This window comes from Homo sapiens, chromosome 13 (genome assembly GCF_000001405.40).
Source record: "Homo sapiens chromosome 13, GRCh38.p14 Primary Assembly".
Lineage (NCBI taxonomy): Eukaryota > Metazoa > Chordata > Mammalia > Primates > Hominidae > Homo > Homo sapiens.
This window is the reverse complement of record NC_000013.11, coordinates 20738579-20760057: the sequence shown is the minus strand read 5'-3', so window position 1 is coordinate 20760057 and position 21479 is coordinate 20738579. Positions and strand designations below refer to the sequence as shown.

The window sequence follows — 21479 nt, the reverse complement described above, 5'->3', positions numbered from 1 at the left end:
TCTCAGCTCACTGCAAGCTCCGCCTCCCGGGTTCGCGCCATTCTCCTGCCTCAGCCTCCCGAGTAGCTGGGACTACAGGTGCCCGCCACCACACCCGGCTAATTTTTTTGTATGTTTAGTAGAGACAGGGTTTGACTGTGTTAGCTAGGATGGTTTCAATCTCCTGACCTCGTGATCCACTGGCCTTGGCCTCCCAAAGTGCTGGGATTACAGGCATGAGCCACTGTGCCCGTCCTATTTTTTGACTTTTTAATAATAGCCATTCCGACTGGTGTGAGATGGCATCTCATTGTGATTTTAATTTGCACTTCTCTGATAATTAGTGATGCTGAGCATTTTTTCATGTTTCTTGGCCACTTGTATGCCTTCTATTAATCATGTACTTTGCCCACTTTTTAATGCAATTCCTTTTTTTTCTTGTTGATTTAATTCAGTTTCTTTTTTTTTTTGTTTCGTTTTTTGTTTGTTTTTTGTTTTTGAGACGGAGTCTTGCTCTGTCACCCAGGCTGGAGTGCAGTAGCGCCATCTCGGCTTACTGCAAGCTCCGCCTCCCAGGTTCACGCCATTCTCCTGCCTCAGCCTCCCGGGTAGCTGGGACTACAGATGCCCGCCACCATGCCTGGCGAATTGTTTGTATTTTTTAGTAGAGACGGGGTTTCACTGTGTTAGCCAGGATGGTCTCGATCTCCTGACCTCATGATCCACCCGCCTCCATCTCCCAAAGTGCTGCGATTACAGGCGTGAGCCACGGCGCCCGGCCGATTTAAGTTTCTTATAGATTCTGCATATTACTCCTTTGTTGGATGCATAGTTTGCAAATATTTTTTCTGATTCTGTAGGTTGTCTGTTTACTTTGTTGATTGTTGCTTTTGCTGTGCAGAGCTTTACCATTGGTCAATTTTTGATTTTGTTGCAATTACTTTTGAGGTCTGTCATAAATTCTTTGCCTAAGCCAATGTCCAAAGAGTTTTTTCTTAAGTTTTCTCCTTGAGTTTTTATAGTTTCAGGTGTGACATTTCAGTCTTTAATACATCTTGAGTTAATGTTTCTATCTGGTGAGAGGTAGGCGTCCAGTTTTACTCTTCTGCAAATGGCTAGCTAGTTTTCCCAGCACCATTTATTGAATAGAATATCCTTTCCCCATTGTTTATTTTTGTTGACTTGATCGAAGACCAGTTGATTGTACGTGTGTGGCTTTATTTCTGGGTTCTCTATTGTATTCCATTGATTATGTATCTGTTTTTTTATCTGTACCATGCTGTTTTGGTTATTATAGCCTTGTAGTATAGTTTGAAGTCAGGTAGTGGGATGCTTCTAGCTTTGTTCTTTTTGCTTAGGATTGCTTTGGCTATTCATTCTCTTTTTTAGTTCCATATGAATTTTAGAATTTTTTTTAATTCTGTGAAAAATGATGTTTGTAATTTGTTAGGAATTGTATTGAATCTGTAGATTGCTTTGGGCAGTATGATCTACTCTTATGTCGACCATCTGTTTTTCATACTGAGGATATATAAGCTAGCCAAAATACTGATACTTGATTTATATGCCATAATTTGTTTATTGTATGTATATAAATAAAATTATTCAGAAGAAATTGGCTTTATATATTTTAAGGAGACATAAGACATCAATCAGTACATGTAAGGCATATATTGGTTTGGTCCAGAAAGGCAGGACAACTGGAAGTGGAGGGCTTCCTGGTCATAGGTAGATTCAAAAATTGTTTTGATTGGCAGTTGGTTGAAAGAGTTAAGTTATTATCTTGGAATCAATGGAAAGGAGTGTCTGGATTAAGATAAGGGGTTCTGGAGACCAAGGTTCTTATTATTATGTAGATGAAACCTGCAGGCAGCAGGCTTCAGAGAGAATAGATGCTAAAATGCCTCTATCAGACCGAAAAAGGTGCCAGACTCTTAATTAATTTCTCCTGGGTCAGGAGAAGACCTGGAAAGGGAAGGGGATTATCTGCAGTTTGTAGATTTTCTCCACAGGAGACAGCTTTGCAGGGCCATTTCAAAATATGTCAAAAAATATATTTGGGGATAAAATACTTCAACTTCTTTCGGGGCCTGTTACCTGTTGTGTGTACTATACTAGAGTCAGATTGGAATTTGATATCTTATTGCTACAAAGAGTCTGTTTTGTCACTCTTAAGATCTCTGTTTTAATGTTTATACTGGTCAGTTGTGTCTGAATTACAAAGGAAGGAGAGTATAATGAGACATGTCCTTCCCATCGTGGCCTGGTTTTTCAGGTTTACTTGGCCACAGAAGAGGGATTTATTCAGTTGGCTGGGGGGCTTAGAATTTTATTTTTGGTTTACTTGTATAAAACTCACTTCAGTTTGGATCCTTGCTGTTAAATAAAAATTTTTAAAAATTATTACTGGCTGGGAAGGGGAAACAAAATCTGCACAGAACATTTATTTCTTGATCTGCAGGTTATAAACAACTTGTGAAATGAGTGATTTGGAAGATGATGAGACACCCCAGCTTTCTGCCCATGCCTTAGCAGCTCTCCAGGAATTTTATGCTGAGCAAAAGCAACAAATTGAGCCAGGCGAGGATGATAAATATAACATTGGAATAATAGAAGAGAATTGGGTAAGTAAATGCATTTCACAGCCATCAGGAAGTATTGATGTGGAACCTACTCTGTGCATTAGTCCAGTGTTTGTCTGTCTCACCTAAAACCGGAATCTCTGTCACCTGTCATTTGGGATCTGAACTTCTCTATGGGGAGCTAAGACAGAAAGCAGTCAGTGAACATTTTAGAACAGTGTAACAGCTTTTCTTGAACAGCTGTTCTTGATTCTGACTATCAGGCTGGTTGGTGATCAGAAGATGGGGTTTTTCAGATAAGGAGATAATGATGCAGGATTTCTCCTCTTGGTCACTTTGCAAGCCGGGGACCCTCAGCTGGCAACACCCCTCCTGGGCCTTGCTCGGCCACGCTGGTGTGCCCCAGCTTGGCTGTGTTATAGCTCGTACCCACGTTCGGCGGTTCCCAAGTTCTTCTACTGCGTCCAAGAAGAATGAGGATATGAGGGACATTGGAGGGTGAAGAGGGTGGGGAAGAATGTTAATGAGTGATGAAAACTGCTTTCAGCAGAGACGGGATGCAGGTTTAGGGGATGGTTACCCCATGTGGTTGGGTCTGGGGCCCTTTATGGACTCAGAATGGGGAGTGTGTGCTGTTGGTTTGTGAGTATGCAAAAAAGGTAAAGGTGAAGGCACCACTCAAAGGTGGGCACAACAGTGTAGAAAAAACAAGTAGGAAAGGGTAAGTATATGTAAAATAGGTAAAGGGTGGAGAACAATCAGAGGAAAGTGTGCAAACAGGAAGACAAGTTCTCAATCTGGTCCAAGGATTTAACTTGTAGCTTGGCTTTCAGGCTTTAAACTGTCTTCATCTTGGAGGCGGGGTTTTACTGGGGACCCACCCCATCTGCCTAGGCATTTGTCTGCCTCTGTCAATAATACGTTATTACATCCAATACAAACTTCTGCTTCATTTTTGGCTACAGATACACCCCACCGGTTTTTATGGACCCCAGAAATCCTGGTGGAAAGAGAAAATATTATCATTGCCGGAAATTGGGGAACTGAACTTAAACATGTATTGAAAAATTGATGAGAAGGAAATTTAAAGAAGATACTAATAGTTTCTGGTGTATAATGTATATTTCAATTATATTTTTATCATCTGAATTACAATAGGGATTAGAAAAAAATGAGTTGAAGGAAACTCCTAACATGACCTGGAACCTATAATTTTTTTTTTTAAAGGAAATAGTTGGGAAACAGAAAAGGCTTGAAGTTTGTCTGTGACTACCCCTTGATAATAGGTGTATCTTCAACACTTTGCAACTGGAAGGAAGCTTCTGTATGCTTATCATTTTTTGATAGTCTTTAATATTTTTGTGTCTAGTTTGGATCTCTGAGTTATATAAACTTTTCCTATTTACCCTGTTTGAAACTAACTGTGATAAACATTTTTATTTCCATTTATTCCACATGTTCCACTTATTCTAAAGCCTCTTTCTCACTGTTTCCCTTCTTTATGTCTGTTTACCTTCTAGCTTGATGCTTCTGTAACTAACAAATATAGGAAATTTGAAGTACTGCATTATTCTTGAGGTGGTCTGTCTTTTTCTTTTTTCCTTCTGCTTAATTTTTAAAATACTATGTACTTTTTTTCTAATTATGAAAACTAGTCCAATCCCACTGCTTAGAATTAACACCTTTTCTAATTTTGAAACTTTGGTTTGATTATAAAATTGAGGAAATATAGAAAGCATAAAAATTGACAGACAAGATTTAGCCATGATGTCTGACTAGAGGTATTGGGTACTTGCCTCCTCCACAAATAAGAACCAAAATATTGAGCCAATAATCTCACTTCAAATAGACTACCTTAGAGAGAATGCTGGAATTCAACAGGGAAGTGACAGGAAACACCTAAGGTGAGGAAGGAGAGGAAGTGAGGCAGCCTGCTTGACAGGGATCAATTAGGATCCTGGAGAGGCTCCCCATTGTGGGGAAAGGCTAAGTGAGTGACTTCTAGCAGTTTATATTCCCACCAAGGATTCTGCAGTTCTAGCCACAGAAGAGCCCTTTTGGCCCATGAAGGCCCTGAGGCAAACATAGGGAACTGCCTGGAGACCACGTGATGGCTTTGCTCCAGATAGGGAGCACATGCCAAGTCCCACACAAGGCACCATTTTGAAAGCCCAGCTCCCACAAGACTGCATCCTGCCATGACACCCAGCAGCCCCTGCATCTCCACATCTCTGGAGCCCCATTGACTTCCCCCAGACTCAGCTGAGGTTGCTGTGGTCTGCTGCCACCAGGGCTGAAGTGTGAGCCATTGGCAGCAAAGCAACCCCACTGCCAGTAGTAGCAGGATCACTGCACAATTAAAAGTTCCCCTAGGAAAAGCTACCCTGCTTATAGCCATGACTAGAGCCAAAGTGTGCACTTCCCAACCTCCTGTTTATGGCTGCTGCCACTGAAAGCCACACCACCCTCCCTAAGAATAGCACAGCTACTGCTGTTCCCACCTGGAATCCTGAGTACAGGCCTGCTCAGCCTGGCTCCATCTTCCCCTACATGACGTAAAGGAAAACCATAAGTGGCCAATTTTTTTTTTTAATTTTCTTTTTCTCCGAGGCGGAGTCCCACTCTGTCACCCAGGCTGGAGTGCAGTGGTGCCATCTCGGCTCACTGCAACCTCTGCCTCCCTGGTTCAAGCGATTCTTGTGCCTACAGGCATGTGCCACTACACCTAGTGATTTTTTTTTTTTTTTTTTTTTTTGTATTTTTGGTAGAGACAGGGTTTTACCATGTTGGCCAGGCTGGCCTTGAAATGATCTGCCTGCCTTGGCCTCCCAAAGTACTGGGATTACAGGCAGGAGCTACTGTGCCCGGCTTTTAAAAATTTTTCAGGGTCCCAGAAGGCAAAGAGAAGACAAAAGAGATCGAAAACCTATTTCATGGAATAATAGCTGAAAACTTCCCAAGTCTAGCAAGAGATTAACACATCCAGATACAGGAAGCTTAGAGATTCCCAAACAGATTAAATTCAAAAAAGCATTCTTCATGCCACATTATTGTCAAACTGTCAGAAGTCAAAAGTCAAAGAGAGAATTCTAAAAACAGCAAGACAAAAGTGACTAGTCACTTAAAAGGGAAACTTCATCAGACTAACAGCATATTCTCAGCAGAAATCTTACATGCCAGGAGGGAATGGGGTGATATATTCAAAATATTGAAAGAAAAAAAAAGAAAAAAAAACTGCCAACAAAAGATTCTATACCCAGCAAAATTATTCTTCATAAATGAAGGAGAAATCAAGACTCCCAGACAAGTAAAAGCTGAGGAAATTCATCACCTCTAGACCAGCCCTGCAAGAAATACTTAAAGGAGTCCTATGCATTGAAGCAAAAGGATGAAATCTACCATCATGGAAATACACTAAAGTATAAAACCCACTGGTAAAGCAAACACAGAAAACCACCAAACCATAATGACAAACAATAAGAGAGAAAGAAAGGAACAAAGGATATACAAGGTAACCAGAAATAAATTAATAGAATGATAGGAATAAGCCCTCACATATCAACAACAACCTTGAATGTAAATGGATTACACTTTCCTCTTAGAAGATAGAGACTGCCTGAACAGATTTAAAGAAAAAAAAACCTGATCCACCTATATGCTGCCTACAAGAAACTCATCTCACCTGTAAAGACATACAGACTGAAAGTAAAGGGATGGAAAAAAAAAGATATTCCATGCACAAGGAAGCCAAAAACAAGCAGGACTAGCTGTGCTTATATCAGATAAAGCAGATTTTAAGTAAAAAAACAGTACAAAGAAACAAGGTTATCATATAATGATAAAGGGATCAATTCAGCTAGAGTAAACAATGATTCCAAACATATATGGACCCAACACTGGAGCATCTGAGGTATAAAGCAGATCTTATTACATCTAAAAGGAGAGATAGGCACGAATACAGTAATAGCTGGATACTCCAACATTAGATAGATCATCTACATAGAAAATTAACAAAGAAACATTGTATTTAAACTGCACTTTAGACCAATGGACTTAAGAGACGTTTGTAGAACATAGCATCCAACAGCTACAGAATATGCATTCTTCTCATCATCACATGGAACCTTCTCCAGTTCCATGTGGTTATGTTTGGACAGAAAACAAGTCTCAACAATTTTTGAAAAATTGAAATGTCAGATATCTTCTCAGGTCATAACACAATAAAACTAGAAATCAATAACAGGAGAAACTTTGGAAACTAAAAATACAGGGAATTTAAATATGCTCCTGAATGATCATTAGGTCAGGGATGAAATTAAAGAGGAAGTCCAAAAATTTCCTGAAACAATGGAAAATCAAAACACAACATACCGAAATCTATGGAATACAGCAAAAACAGTGCTAAGAGTGAAGTTTATAGCAATAAAAATCTACATCTAGAAAGTAGGAAGGTTTCAAATAAATAATCTAACAATGCACCTTAAGAAACTAGAAAAGCAAGAACAAACCAGTCCCAAAATGAGTAGAAGGAAAGAAATAATGAAGAGCAGACAGAACCAAACAAAATGCAGAATAAAAAATATTCAATGGATCAATGAAAAGTTGGCTTTTTGAAAACATAGGGAAAACCAGTAAACTACTAGCTAGACTAACCAAGAAAAAAAAACAAAAGACAAAAATAAATAAAATCAGAAATAAAGGGGACATTACAACTGAAGTCCAGGACCAGATGACTTTACTGCTGAATTCTACCAAACTTAAAAAGAATAATCAATACCAATTATCTTTAAATTATTCCAGAAGTTTGAAGTGGAGAGAATTCTCCCTAATTCATTCTATGAGGCCAGCATTATCCTGACACCAAAACCAGACAATAATGTAAGAAATAAAGAAAATTACAGGCCAGTATCCCAGATGAATATAGACACAAAAGTCCTCAACAAAATACTAGTAAATAGAACCCAATAGTACATCAAAAAAAATTACACCATGATTAAGTGGGATTTATCCTGGAGATTCAAGGAAGGTTCAACACCTGCAAATCAACAAACATAATACACCACATCAACAGACTGAAGGACAAATGTTATATGATCATCTCAATAGCTGCAGAAAAAGCATTTTAAAAAATTCAACATCCCTTCATGATAAAAACTCTCAACAAACTAGGCATAAAGGAACATACCTCATCATAATAAAGGCTATATATGATAAACCCACAGCTAACATCATACTGAATGGGGAAAAGCTGAAAGTCTTTCCTCTAAGATCAGGAATAAGATAAGCATGCCCACTTCCACCACTGCTATTTAACATAGTACTGGAAGTCCTAACTAGGACAATCGGGCAACAAAAAGAAATAAAAAGCATCTAAATTGGAAAAGAGGAAGTCAAATTGTCCCTCTTTATAGATGACATGACATGATCTTACACCTAGAGAAACCTAAAGACTCCAGGAAAAAACTTTTAGATCTTATAAATTCAATAAGATTGCAGGATACAAAATCAACATACAAAAATCAGTAGCATTTCCATACACCAGTAATGAACTAGCTGAGAAAGAAATCGAGAAGGCAATCCTGTTTACAATAGCTACAAAAAAAAGAAATACCTAGTAATAAATTTAACCAAGGAGGTGAAAGGTGTCTACAAGGAAGACTACAAAACTCTGAGGAAAGAAATTGAAGACACCAACAAATGGAAAGACATCCCGTGCTCACGGATTGAAAGAATAATCGTAGTTAAAATGATTATACCCAAAGCAATGTATATATCCAGTACAATCCCTATCAATACTAATGTCATTTTTCACAGAAAAAAAAAAGTCCTGAAATTCCTGTGGAACCCAAAAACAGCCTGAATGGCCAAAGCAATCCTGAGCGAATAGAACAAGGGTGGAGGCATCACACTACCTGAGTTCAAATGATGTTACAAGGCTGTAGTAACCAAAACAGCATGGTATCGGTATTACAACAGACACATAGACCAATGGAACAGAATAGAGAACCCAGAAATTAATCCACATATCTATAGCCAACTGATTTTTGACAAAGGTGCCAAGGGGAAAGGACACCTCTTCAATAAATGGTGCTAGAAATATTAGATATCCATATGCAGAAGAATGAAACAGGACCCCTATCTCTCACCATATGCAAAAGTCAACTCAAGATGGATTAGACGTAAGCATATATCCTGAAACTATAAAACTTCTAGACAAAAACATAAGGGACACACTTCAGAACGTTGGTCTAGGCAAAGATTTCATGGCTAAGACCTCAAAAGCACAAGAAACAAAAATAGACAAATGGGACTCTATGATATTTAAATGCTTCTACACAGCAAAGGAAACAATCAGCAGAATGGAGAGGCAACCCATTGAGATGTGTAAAATATTTGAAAACTATTCATCTGACAAGGGACTCGTATCTAGAATATATAAGAAACTCAACTAAAATTTCAAAACCAAATAATCCCATTAAAATGGGCAAAGGACCTGAATAGACATTTCTCAAAAGAAGACATACAAATGGCCAACTGGTATATGAGGAAGAGCTCAACATTACTAATCATTAAAGTTATGCAAATCAAAACCACAGTGAGATGTAATGTTATCCCAGAATGGCTATTGTTAAAAAGATTAAAAATACCAGGTACTGGTAAGGGTGTGGAGGAAAGGGAACTCTTATACACCGTTGGTGGGAATGTAAATTACTATAGCTACTGTGGAAAACAGTATGGTGATTTCTCAAAAAACTAAAACCAGAATTACCATATGACCTAGCAGTCTCACTACTGAACATTTATTCAAAGGAAAAGAAATTAGTATATCAAAAACGTACCTGCTCCTCATGTTTCTTGCAGCACTATTCACAATAACAAGGATAGGAATCAACCTGTCCGTCAATAAATTAATGGATAAAGAAAATGTGGTGTATATACACAATGGAATACTGTTTAGCCATAAAAAGTAGTGAAATTATGTCATTTGCAGCAAAGTGGATGGAACGGGAGGTCATTATGTTAAGTGAAATAAGCCAGGCACAGAAAGACAAATATTGCATGTTCTTATATGCGAAGGCTAAAAATGTTGATGTCATGGAGATAGAGAATAGAATGATAGATACCAGAGGCTGGGAAGGTGGGGTGGGGGTGATGAAAAGAGATTGGTAAATGAGTACAACCATATAGCTAAATAGAAGGAATAAGATCTGATGTTCTATAGCACAGTAGGGTGACTATAGTTAACAATTAGTGTATTGTATATTGCAATATAGCTAGCAGAGAGGACTTGAAATGTTCCCAACAGGTGATAAATACTCAAGGTGATGGATACCCTAAGTACCCTGACTTGATCATTACACATTCTGTGCATGTAACAAAATATCACATGTATCCCATAAATATGTACAAATAGGAAAGAAGACATTGGAAAACTAGCAGATAAATCCAGGAGGCTCAATATTCAACAAATAAGATTCCAGAAAAACAGAACAAAAAATGAAGAGGGAAGGAAAGCTTTAAAGAATATTAGAAATTTCCCAGAACTGAAGACCCTCATTAAGATACATGATTATGATGATTATGAAAATTCTGGATACAGATGACAAAGAACATCCTAGAGCCTTCCAGAAGAAAAACGGTCTCCTACAAAGTCTTCGGACTATGAGTTACATTGCACTTCTCAATAGCTTTATTAGAAACTTTTAAAAATAGAGTGATACATTCAATATTTTGAGTGAAAATTTTGTTCACCCTAGAATTATTTTTCCTTTTCTTTTCTTTCTTTTTTTGAAATGGAGTCTCACTATGTTGCCCAGGCTAGTCTCAAACTCCTGGGCTCAAGCAATCCTCAACTCAGCTTCCTGAGTAGCTGGGATTATACACATACTACCACACCCAACTGTAGCCTAGAATTCTATACCCAGCTAAACTATTACTCGTGTGAGGATAAAATAAAAACATTTTAGATATGACAAGTCTCATTACATTGACCTCTTGTGTACTTCTCAAGAGCTGCAGGAGGGTTTGCTGCAAGTGAGAAGAAAGAAGACATGAGCTCCAAGGAATAGGAAATCTGATGCATATAGTAGGAGAGGGAATTCCCAGGATGATGGTGACACAGAATGTCCCAGTGTAATGGTTGTGCTGCAAGTCTGGAGAGCAGCCAATCTACATTGTAGTAGGAGGATGGTGTGTTCCAGGACAGAGATCTTCAGGGGAAATACAAAAGTGATAGGATATCCAATATGTAGAAAATTGTATTGAAAGGCCAATAGAGGATGTTAGAAGAATTAGGGATAAATATAAACTAACCAAGCAAATGAAACAGTCATGCATTTACTTACTCTAGGAAAAACAAAAAGGAATTCTACTGAAAGGAAAAGCAATTATAGTATACCACTTGGCTCAATAATGAACACTGACACTTAATTCTAACTAACCAAAACTTGCTTTAAAACTACATTGGGGCTGGGCACGATGGCTCACGCCTGTAATTCTACCCACTTTGAGAGGCCTAGCGGGGTAGATCTCCTGAGGTCAGGAGTTTGAGACCATCCTGGCCAACATGGCAAATCCCATGTCTACTCAAAATACAAAAATTAGCCAGGTATGGTGGCGCGTGCCTGTAGTCCCAGCTACTTGGGAGCCTGAGGTGGGAGGATCATTTGAGCCTGGGAGGCAGAGGTTGCAGTGAGCCGAGATCATGCCACTGCATGCCAGCCTGGGTGACAGAGTGAGACTCTGTCTCAAAAAAAAAAAAAAAAAAAAACCAAAAAAAAACAACTATACATTAGGAGGGTGAAGAAAAGGCAAATGATGTGTATGAGAGAGCAAAAATCCTCATCTATCATAATAAATCCATAGTATATATAGGTGGATTATCAAGGGATAGCATTTAAAACGTAGTATTTAGAGATGTGGCAATAAATGATCAGAGAAAGAGCCAAGAATTGAAAATGGTTGCTTCTGAGGAGTGAGGCTCAATGGCAGGGGGTCATGGGATAGAAGACTATTGTTTTTCTTTATAAGCCTAGTAGTGCTTTTGACTTTTTTTTTTTTTTTGGACGGAGTCTAGCTCTGTCGCCCAGGTTGGAGTGCAGTGGCGCGATCTCGCCTCACTGCAAGCTCCGCCTCCTGGGTTCACGCCATTCTCCTGCCTCACCTCCTGAGTAGCTGGGACTACAGGCGCCCGCCACCATGCCCGGCTAATTTCTTTGTATTTTTAGTAGAGACGGGGTTTCACCATGTTAGCCAGATGGTCTCAATCTCCTGACCTCATGGTCCGCCCGCCTCGGCCTCCCAAAGTGCTGGGATTACAGGCGTGAGCCACTGCGCCCGGCCTGCTTTTGACTTTTAAAGCCATGTTCATGTAACATATTAAGGGCAGGGTTCTCCTCAGTTGGACAGGCACAAAGACGATTCTGGAAGGAACATCATGATGACTGCCCAAGGAGAGTCCCAAGTCCAGTTCAAACTTGTATTGGTTGGTGATGGTGGTACTGGAAAAACTAGATTTATGAAATGTCAGTTGGTGAATTTGAGACGTACATAGCTACCTTGGGTATTGAGGTTCATTGCCTTGTGTTGCACACCAACAGAGGACCCATTCATTGTATGGGATACAGCTGGCCAGAAGAAATTTGGTGGAGTGAGAGATGGCTATTATATCCAAGCCCAGCATGCCATTATAATGTTTGATGTGATATCGAGAGTTACTTACAAGAATGTGCCGAGATCCTGTGGTGGCTCACGCCTGTAATCCCAGCACTTTGGGAGGCCGAGGTGGGCAGATCACCTGAGGTCAGGAGTTTAAGACCAGCCTGGCCAACATGGTGAAACCCCGTCTCTACAAAAATAGAAAAATTAGCCAGGCATGGTGGCATGTGCCTGTAATCCCAGCTACTTGGGAGGCTGAGGCAGAAGAATCTCTTGAACCCGGGAGGTGGAGGCTGCAGTGAGCTGAGATCGTGCCATTGCACTCCAGCCTGGGTGACAGAGAGACACTCCATCTCAAAAAAAAAAAAAAAAAAAAAGAATGTGCCTAACTGGCACAGAGATCTGGTACGTTTATGTGAAAACATCCCCATTGTGTTGAGGGCAACTGAGTGGGTATAAAGGACAGGAAAGTGAAGGCAAAATCCGTTCTCTTCCACCAAAAGAAGAATCTTCAGTACTATGACATTTCTGCCAAAAGTTACTGCAACTTTGAAAAGCTCTTCCTCTGGCTTGCTAGGAAGCTTATTGGAGACCCTAACTTGGAGTTTGTTGCCATACCTGCCCTTGCCCCATCAGAGGCTGTCATGGACTCAGCATCAACAGTGCAATATGAGCACGATTTAAATAGAAGTTGTTCAGAGATCATCATCTCCCTGATGAGGGTGATAACCTGTGAGAATGAAGCTGGAGCCTAGCATCAGAAGTCTAGTTTTATTTGTCCTGTGATATCAGCAGTGCAACATTTATTATGTAGGTAACAAATGTGCCCATTTATTATGTAGGTAAGTGGAACGTGTGCTTCATCTGTGGGATGCTGGAGATGAATGGGCTTCAAAGTAAATGTCACCATTTTAAAAATACCTTAATTGTTCAGACTTGCATATTTAGCTGTTTTGGAATGCAGTTGATTCCTTCTTGAGTTTCAAATACAAGACTGCTACAATCACATCACAATGCTCAGTGGTGAAATCTTGTTTGTTACTGTCATTCTTATTCCTTTTCATTTAGAATCAGAATAAGGTTGTATTTCAGATATCTTAAAAAATGGAGTGGGACTCTTTATCTTTATGGAATGATATGAGGAGAGCCAAAATCTATCATTGTGCCCTGATGGTGTTGGAGTGAGGAAGAAGGGCAGTTCAGTAGTAAACCAGCAGACAACTCTTACCACTTACGGTGCATGATAGCAGATACTGTCTGCCACCTCCGAAATCAAGTGAACTCAAAGCCCTTCCATTCTCTGTATGCTAGGGGCTTTCTTCCAGATGTCCTTTGCAGAGGTAGAGGTCAGAGCTGCCATTTTTCCTGTAGATAAGAATGGATAGACATGGCCAGGCACGGTGCCTCATGCCTCTAATCCCAGCACTTTGGGAAGCCAAGGCAGGTGGATCACAAGGTCAGGAGTTCGAGACCAGCCTGACCAACATGGTGAAACCCCGTCTCTACTAAAAATACAAAAAATAGCCAGGTGTGGTGGCATGGACTTGTAATCCCAGCTACTTGGGAGGCTGAGGCAGGAGAATCACTTGAACCTGGGAAGTGGAGGCTGCAGTGAGCCGACATTGTGCCATTGCACTCCAGCCTGGGTGACAAGAGTGAGACTCTGTCTAAAAAAAAAAAATAATGGATAGACAGATGTAGATATGAATTAATACATATACCCACATGTATATATGTATATTTGTCTTTGGAAATATTTTAAACGTGGACTTATGAGTGAATATTCAATAAATAGCATGCAGACATCCAGATGGGAAATATTTGAAGCAATTCTCTTTTTCATTATATTCAGTAAATATTTATTGGTTTAAAGATGTGTTATTAATGTTTTCATTCATACCACGTGCCACTTTGAATTGTACCTTGTTTTAATTGTTATAGTCATTTTGAATGCCATCTTGTTTTATTTTTATTTTTATTTTTATTTTTTTCGAGATGTAGTCTCGCTCTGTCACCCAGGCTGGAGTGCAGTGGCACAATCTCGGCTTACTGCAACCTCTGCCTCCCAGGTTCAAGCAGTTCTCTGCCTCAGCCTCCCAAGTAGCTGGGATTACAGGCTCCTGCCACCATGCCCAGCTAATTTTTGTATTTTTAGAAGAGATGGGGTTTCACCATCTTGACCAAGCTGGTCTTGAACTCCTGACCTCATGATCCACCCACTTCAGCCTCCCAAAGTGCTGGGATTACAGGCGTAAGCCACCGTGCCTGGCCTGCCATCTTGTTTTGAGTGATTTAGAACCATTCCATATTAGTAAGACCATCCAGATAAACCTTTTAAAAGGTCCAATAATAGACAAGCAGAGAGCCAAATCATGAGTGAACTCCCATTCACAGTTGCTACAAAGAGAAGAAAATACCTAGGAATACAACTTACAAGGGACGTGAAGGACCCTCTTCAAGGAGAACTACAAACTACTGCTCAAGGAAATAAGAGAGAACATAAACAAATGGAAAAAAATTCCATGCCCTTGGATAGGAAGAATCAATATTTTGAAAATGGCCATACTGCCCAAAGTAATTTATAGATTCTATGCTATTCCCATCAAGCTACCATTGACTTTCTTTGCAGAATTAGAAAAACCTACTTTAAATTTCATATGGAAAGAAAAAAGAGCCCGTATAGCCAAGACAATCCTAAGCAAAAAGAACAAAGCTGGAGGCATCCACTACCTGACTTCAAACTATACTACAAGGCTAGTAACCAAAACAGCATGGCACTGTTGCCAAAACAGATATATAGACCAATGGAACAGAACAGAGATCTCAGAAATAACACCACATATCTACAACCATCTGATCTTTGACAAACCTGACAAAAACAAGCAATGGGGAAAGGATTCCCTATTTAATAAAGGATGCTGGGAAAACTGGCTAGCCATATGCAGAAAAGAGAAACTGGGCCCCTTCCTTACACCTTATAAAAAAATTAACTGAAGATGAATTAAAGACTTAAATGTAAAACCCCCAAATCATAAAAACCCTAGAGGAAAACCTAGGCAATACCATTCAGGACATAGGCATGGGCAAAGACTTCATGACTAAAACACCAAAAGCAATGGCAACAAAAGCCAAAATTGGCAAATGGGATCTAATTAAACTAAAGAGCTTCTGCAGAGCAAAAGAAACTATCGTCAGAGTGAACAGCAGCCTACAGAATGGGAGAAAATTTTTGCAATCTACTCATCTGACAAAGGTCTAATATCCAGAATCTATAAGGAACATAAACAAATTTACAAGAAAAAAACAGCCCCATCAAAAAGTGGGCAAAGGATGTGAACAGACACTTCTCGAAAGGAAAGAAGACATTTATGTGACTGATAAACATATGAACAAAAGCTCAACGTCACTGGTCATTAGAGAAATGCAAATCAAAACCACAACGAGATACCATCTCACTCCAGTTAGAATGGTGATTATTAAAAAGTCAGGAAACAACAGGCTGGCACAGCTGTGGAGAAATAGGAATGCTTTTACACTGTTGGTGGGAGTGTAAATTAGTTCAACCATTGTGGAAAACAGTGTGGCGATTCCTCAAGGCTCTAGAACGAGAAATACCATTTGACTCATTACTAGGCATATACCCAAAGGATTATGTCATTCTGCTATAAAGACACATGCACACATATGTTTATTGCAGCACTGTTTACAGTAGCAAAGACTTGGAACCAACCCAAATGCCCATCAGTGACAGACTGGATTAAGACAATGTGGCACATATATACCATGGAATACTATGCAGCCATAAAAAAGGATGAGTTCATGTCCTTTGCAGGGATATGGATGAAGGTGGAAGCCATCATTCTCAGCAAGCTAACACAGGAACAGAAAACCAAACACCGCTTGTTCTCACTCATAAGTGGGAATTGAACAATGAGAACACATGGCATGGACATAGGGAGGGGAACATCACACAGTGGGGCCTGTCAGGGGGTGGGGGACAAGGGAAGGGAGAGCATTAGGACAAATACCTCATGCATGTGGGGCTTAAAACCTACATGATGGGTTGATTAGTGCCCCAAACCACCATGGCATATGTATACCTATGCAACAAACCTGCACATTCTGCACATGTATCCCAGAACTTAAAGTAAAATAAAAATACGAGAAAAAAAAAAAAAAAGCACAAGGTCAAGTGTAGTGTAACAATAAATAAAACACTGCCCTTGCTCTCAAGCAAACTATTCTAAGACAAAAGTGATGATTGGAGCAAAATGGGGAGCAAAATGCAAGACACCTCCCCAGACTTTTGAGGTGGAGGGGAAGTCAAGGAAACCCACTGAGAGAAAGTGACAGATGTAAATTGAGTCCTGATGCATCCTAGATTTGGAAAAAAAAATTCAATCTTTATAATCCACACACAAAATTAAAGTCAAGGTGGATTAAAAAGCTAAACATAAAAATAATAAAAGTATTAGCCAGGCACGTTGGCTCACGCTTATAATCCCAGCACTTTGGGAGGCCAAGGCAGGCAGATCACTTGAGGTCAGGAGTTTGAGAGCAGCCTGGTTAACATGGTGAAACCTCCTCTCTACTAAAAATACAAAAATTAGCCAGGCCCAGTAATGGACACCTGTAATCCCAGCTACTTGGGAGGCTGAGGCAGGAGAATCGCTTCAATTTCGGAGGTGGAGGTTGTAGTGAGCTGAGATTGCGCCACTGCACTCCAGGCTGGGCAACAGAGTGAGACTCTGTCTCAATAAAAGTAAATAATAAAAGTATTAAAAGAAAATATAGGATAATATTTTATGATCTAAGGTAGAAAAACAACTCAAAACTAAGAATCATAAAGGAGAAGATTGATAACATTGACAAAATAAACGTATTGATAACAGAAGATACCATAAACAAGTTTAAGAGACAAGAGAAAGACGAGGAGAAAATATTTGTCTCATGCATGAGAGCAAAGGATTAATATCCAGATGTCCATGCCCACCAGCCAAAGATACCAGGAAACACACCTGTAGGCAAACAGAGTGGGGTCTGTTACTTGTTGCAACAAGAGAGGCTGAGGACCATGGGCAGCCTGTGGGACAGCTCAGTAAGAGGCAGCTAAGAGGAGATTATTCTGTGAGTTTGGCTTGCGTTAGGTGTTGGAGCAACTTTGTCAGAAAGCCAGAATAATTATTATGTAGGAGGTGGGAGGAATCAAATGGAGTTAAAGGTGTAATTGGTAAAGTATCAGCAGGCACTCATGTTACCTGGGAAAGAGACATTCATGGTCATTTTTGTGATTTGCACAGTGTTCTTGTTTTATCTGTACTCAGATGTGATTACAGAATGGTCATATTTTTATCTTGCCCCATCACAGGAATAACTCAGTCTGATGTTGGTGTTCTTTGAAATAGTTTCTGTTAAGTAGGGAACATCTGGGCCTAGGTCCTAGTTGCAAGCTAGTTCTATTTGACACCTGTCATTTTTTTTTTCTCAAAGACTGTATAAAGATCTTCTACAAATCAATAATAAAACAGTAAACCCAGTGGAAAATTAGGGAATGCTAGCAACAATTGACAAAATAAAAATAAAAATAAAAATTAAATATAGGAAAAGATACTCAACTGTACAACAGGGAAATGCAAATTAAGAGTAAAATGTTAGTAGTCATTTTAATTGGTCCAACCTTTTTGGAGGGCAATTTGGCAATATCTACCAAAATATTAACTGTATATGCCCTTCAACCACGAATTCCATTTCTAAAAATCTCTACACAGAGATTTTTATATGCACATGTATACAAAAAGGAATATTTAGAATACTCATTGTAGCATGTTTGTAACAGGAATAATTAAATCACTATCAAAAGGGAAATAAACTCTGGAAGGGTCAAGTGTAAGTTTCTTAGTTTTATTTAAGAAACTCAGCTATGATGTCTTACAATGTTAGGTTACAAAGTTAAGTCTGAAGAGGTAAAATTTGTGTACTAAGTAAGATTGTTACCTTCTGACTCAAGATGGTAGACTGGTCATATGAATGATCACTTTTCTCTTTCATTGAATGAAGAGTAAAGATGTTTTTAAAAAGTAATTACAGGCTGGGCGCGGTGGCTCACCCCTGTAATCCCAGCACTTTGGGAGGCTGAGGAGGCAGATCACGAAGTCAAGAGATTGAGACCATCTTGGCCAACATGATGAGACCCCATCTCTACTAAAAATACAAAAATTAGCTGGGTGTGGTGGTGTGCACCTGTAATCCCAGCTACTCGGGAGGCTGAGGCAGGAGAACTGCTTGAATCCGGGAGATGGAGGTTGCAGTGAGCTGAGATTGCACCACTGTACTCCAGCCTGGCGACAGAGCAAGACTCCATCTCAAAAAAAAAAAAAAAAAAAGTAATTACAATGTTAAAAAACAACAAACAAACAAAGGATGCTATTGACAGAAATTTCAGTAAATTTCTGGAAAAAAGAAAGAAAGTGGGTGTAAGATGGTCTATGGAACAGCAGAGAAAACTACCAGCCTCTCTGGGAACTGGAGCAAAGATGAGAGTCTGTCTTCCAGAAAAGAAACAGAGACTCTGGGTTCCAAACTCAGAACCTGTGAACATAAGTGGTAAAAGTGGCTCATGGGCCGATTTCTGCTTGAGTAATTAAAGGATGGCCTGCTGGCATCTTTGGGCCAGTTGGTCTCTTCCCCTTCTTCTGATCATATCCAGAAGGCATACATAGAATCCGAGGTACTCACCTCCAGGCTGAATCTCTGAGGATTTTTCACTAAACAAACTGGAGAATCTGCTTTGGGATGCCCTAATTTGGGTAGGAAAGCCAGAAAGAGACACAGAATAGAATCTAAGATAACTCCAGAGCTCCACCATAGCATAGAAAGAAGGAAAAAGGCAGCTCCATTCAGGAAGGAAGTACACAAAAGTCCTCCATACTCTGAGTAAAGCTCTCCTTATTTAAGCAGATCTCAGTTTTGTTGAGATATAATTCACATACCATAAATTCACCTTTTAAAAGTGTAGAAGTCAATGGTTTTTTTGTTTTGAGACTGAGTCTCCCTCTGTCGCCCAGGCTGGAGTGCAATGGTGCAATCTTGGCTTACTGCAACCTCCGCCTCCCAGGTTCAAGCGATTCTCCTGCCTCAGTCTCCCGAGTAGCTGGGATTACAGGCACATGCTACCACACCTGGCTAATATTTTGTATTTTTAGTAGAAGCAGGGTCTCACCATGTTGACTGGGCTGGCTCCAACTCCTGGCCTCAGGACCCTCCCGCCTTGGCCTCCCAAAGTGCTGGGATTACAGGCGTGAGCCACCACACCCGGCAAGTCAGTGGTTTTTAGTAAATTCACAGATAGGTCCAACTGAGAGGTGACAGTGTGCTGGTAGCCCTCGCTTGCTCTTGGCACCTCCTCGGCCTCAGCGCCCACTCTGGCCACTGTTGAGGAGCCCTTCAGCCTGCTGCTGCACTGTGGGAGCCCCTCTCTGAGGTGGCCGAGGCCGAAGCCGGCTCCCTCCGCTTGCAGGGAGGTGTGGAGGGAGAGACGTGGGCGGAAACTGGGGCTGTGCGTGGCACTCGCAGTCCAGCACGAGTTCCAGGTGGGTGCGGGCTTGGCAGGCCCCGCACTCGGAGCAGCCGGCTGGCACCGCTGGCCCCCAGGCAGTGAGGGACTTAGCACCTAGGCCAGCAACTGCAGAGGGTGCGCCGGATCCCAGCACTACCGGCCCACCTGCGCTGTGCTTGAATTCTCGCCGGCCCTCAGCTGTCTCCCCGCAGGGCAGGGCTCAGGACCTACAACCCACCATGCCCGAGCCTCCTCCCCCACCATGGGCTCCCGCGCAGCCTGAGCCTCCCTGACGGGTGCCGCCCCTTCTCTGCGGGGCCCAGTCGCATCAACTGCCCAAGGGCTGAGAAGCACTGGCACATGGCATGGGACTGGTGGGCAGCTCTGCCTGTGGCCCCAGTGCTGGATCCACTAGGTGAAGCCAGCTGGGCTCCTGAGTCAGGTGGGGACTTGGAAAATTTTTATGTCTAGCTAGAGGATTGTAAATGCACCAATCAGCACTCTGTATCTAGCTAAAAGATTGTAAACACACCAATCAGTGCTCTGTGTCTAGCAAATCTAGTGGGGACTTGGAGAACTTTTGTGTCTAGCTAAAGGATTGTAAACTCACCAATCAGCACTCTGTGCCTAGTTCAAGGTTTGTAAATGCACCAATCAGTGCTCTGTGTCTAGCTAATCTGGTGGGGACTTGGAGAACTTTTACGTCTAGCTAGAGGATTGTAAATGCACCAATCAGCACTCTGTGTCTAGCTCAAGGTTTGTAAATGCACCAATCAGCACCCTGTCAAAACAGACCAATCAGCTCTCTATAAAATGGGCCAATCAGCTCTCTGTAAAACAGACCAATCAGCTCTCTGTAAAATGGACCAATCAGCAGGATGTGGGTGGGGTCAGATAAGGGAATAAAAGCAGGCTGCCCCTGCTTAGCGGCGGCAACCCTCTTGGGTTGCCTTCCATGCTGTGGAAGGTTTGTTCTTTTGCTCCTCACAATAAATGTTACTGCTGCTCACTGTTTGGGTCTGCGTTGCCTTTATGAGCTGTAACACTCACCGTGAAGGTCTCCAGCTTCACTCCTGAAACCAGCGAAGTTACCAACCCACTGGGAGCAAAGAACAACTTCGGATGGGAGGAACTACCAACTCCAGATGTGCCATCTTAGGAGTTGTAATCCTCTTGGCGAAGGTCTGCAGCTTCACTCCTGAAGCCAGCGAGACCACGACCCCCCCAGGAGGAAGAAACTTTGAATACGTCTGAACATCAGAAGGAAGGAACTCTGGGCACACTATCTTTAAGAACTGTCACACTCATCGTGAGGGTCCACAGCTTCATTCTTGAAGTCAGTGAGACCAAGAACCCACCAATTCCGGACACACAACTATCACCACAGTCAATTTTAGAACATTTTCGTTGCGTCTAAAAGAAACCATATGTTTTTCAGCTGTCACCTCCTAATCCCTCAATCCTCCCAACACCTGGCAACCACTAATCTACTGTCTTTGTAGACTTGCTACTCGGGACATTTCATATAAACAGAATTACACAGTATGTGGCCTTTGGTGTCTGATTTCTTTCGTTCAGTGTAATGTTTCCAAGACTCATCCATGTAGCATATATCAGTACCCTGTTCCTTTTTATGGCCAAATAATATTTCATTGTAGGGGTGTACCACATTTTTTCTATCCATTAGTTGATGGGCACTTGAGTTG

General features: G+C 41.0%; 1 protein-coding gene and 1 pseudogene across 4 annotated transcripts in view; both read left to right on the top strand.

The window, feature by feature from the left end:
- EEF1AKMT1 (EEF1A lysine methyltransferase 1) overlaps positions 1–21479 on the top strand; it is a 45231-nt gene that overhangs the window by 13904 nt on the left and 9848 nt on the right. For all 4 annotated transcript variants that reach the window (NR_134934.2, NM_001318939.2, NM_174928.3 and 1 more), the window contains exon 2: positions 2441–2603. Coding sequence is in view for 3 of the 4 variants with exons in the window: in NM_001318939.2 (NP_001305868.1) it covers positions 2460–2603 (144 nt within the window). In the remaining variant the exon portion in view is untranslated. The remainder of the gene's footprint in view (positions 1–2440; positions 2604–21479) is intronic.
- On the top strand, positions 11956–12293 carry RANP8 (RAN pseudogene 8; annotated as a pseudogene).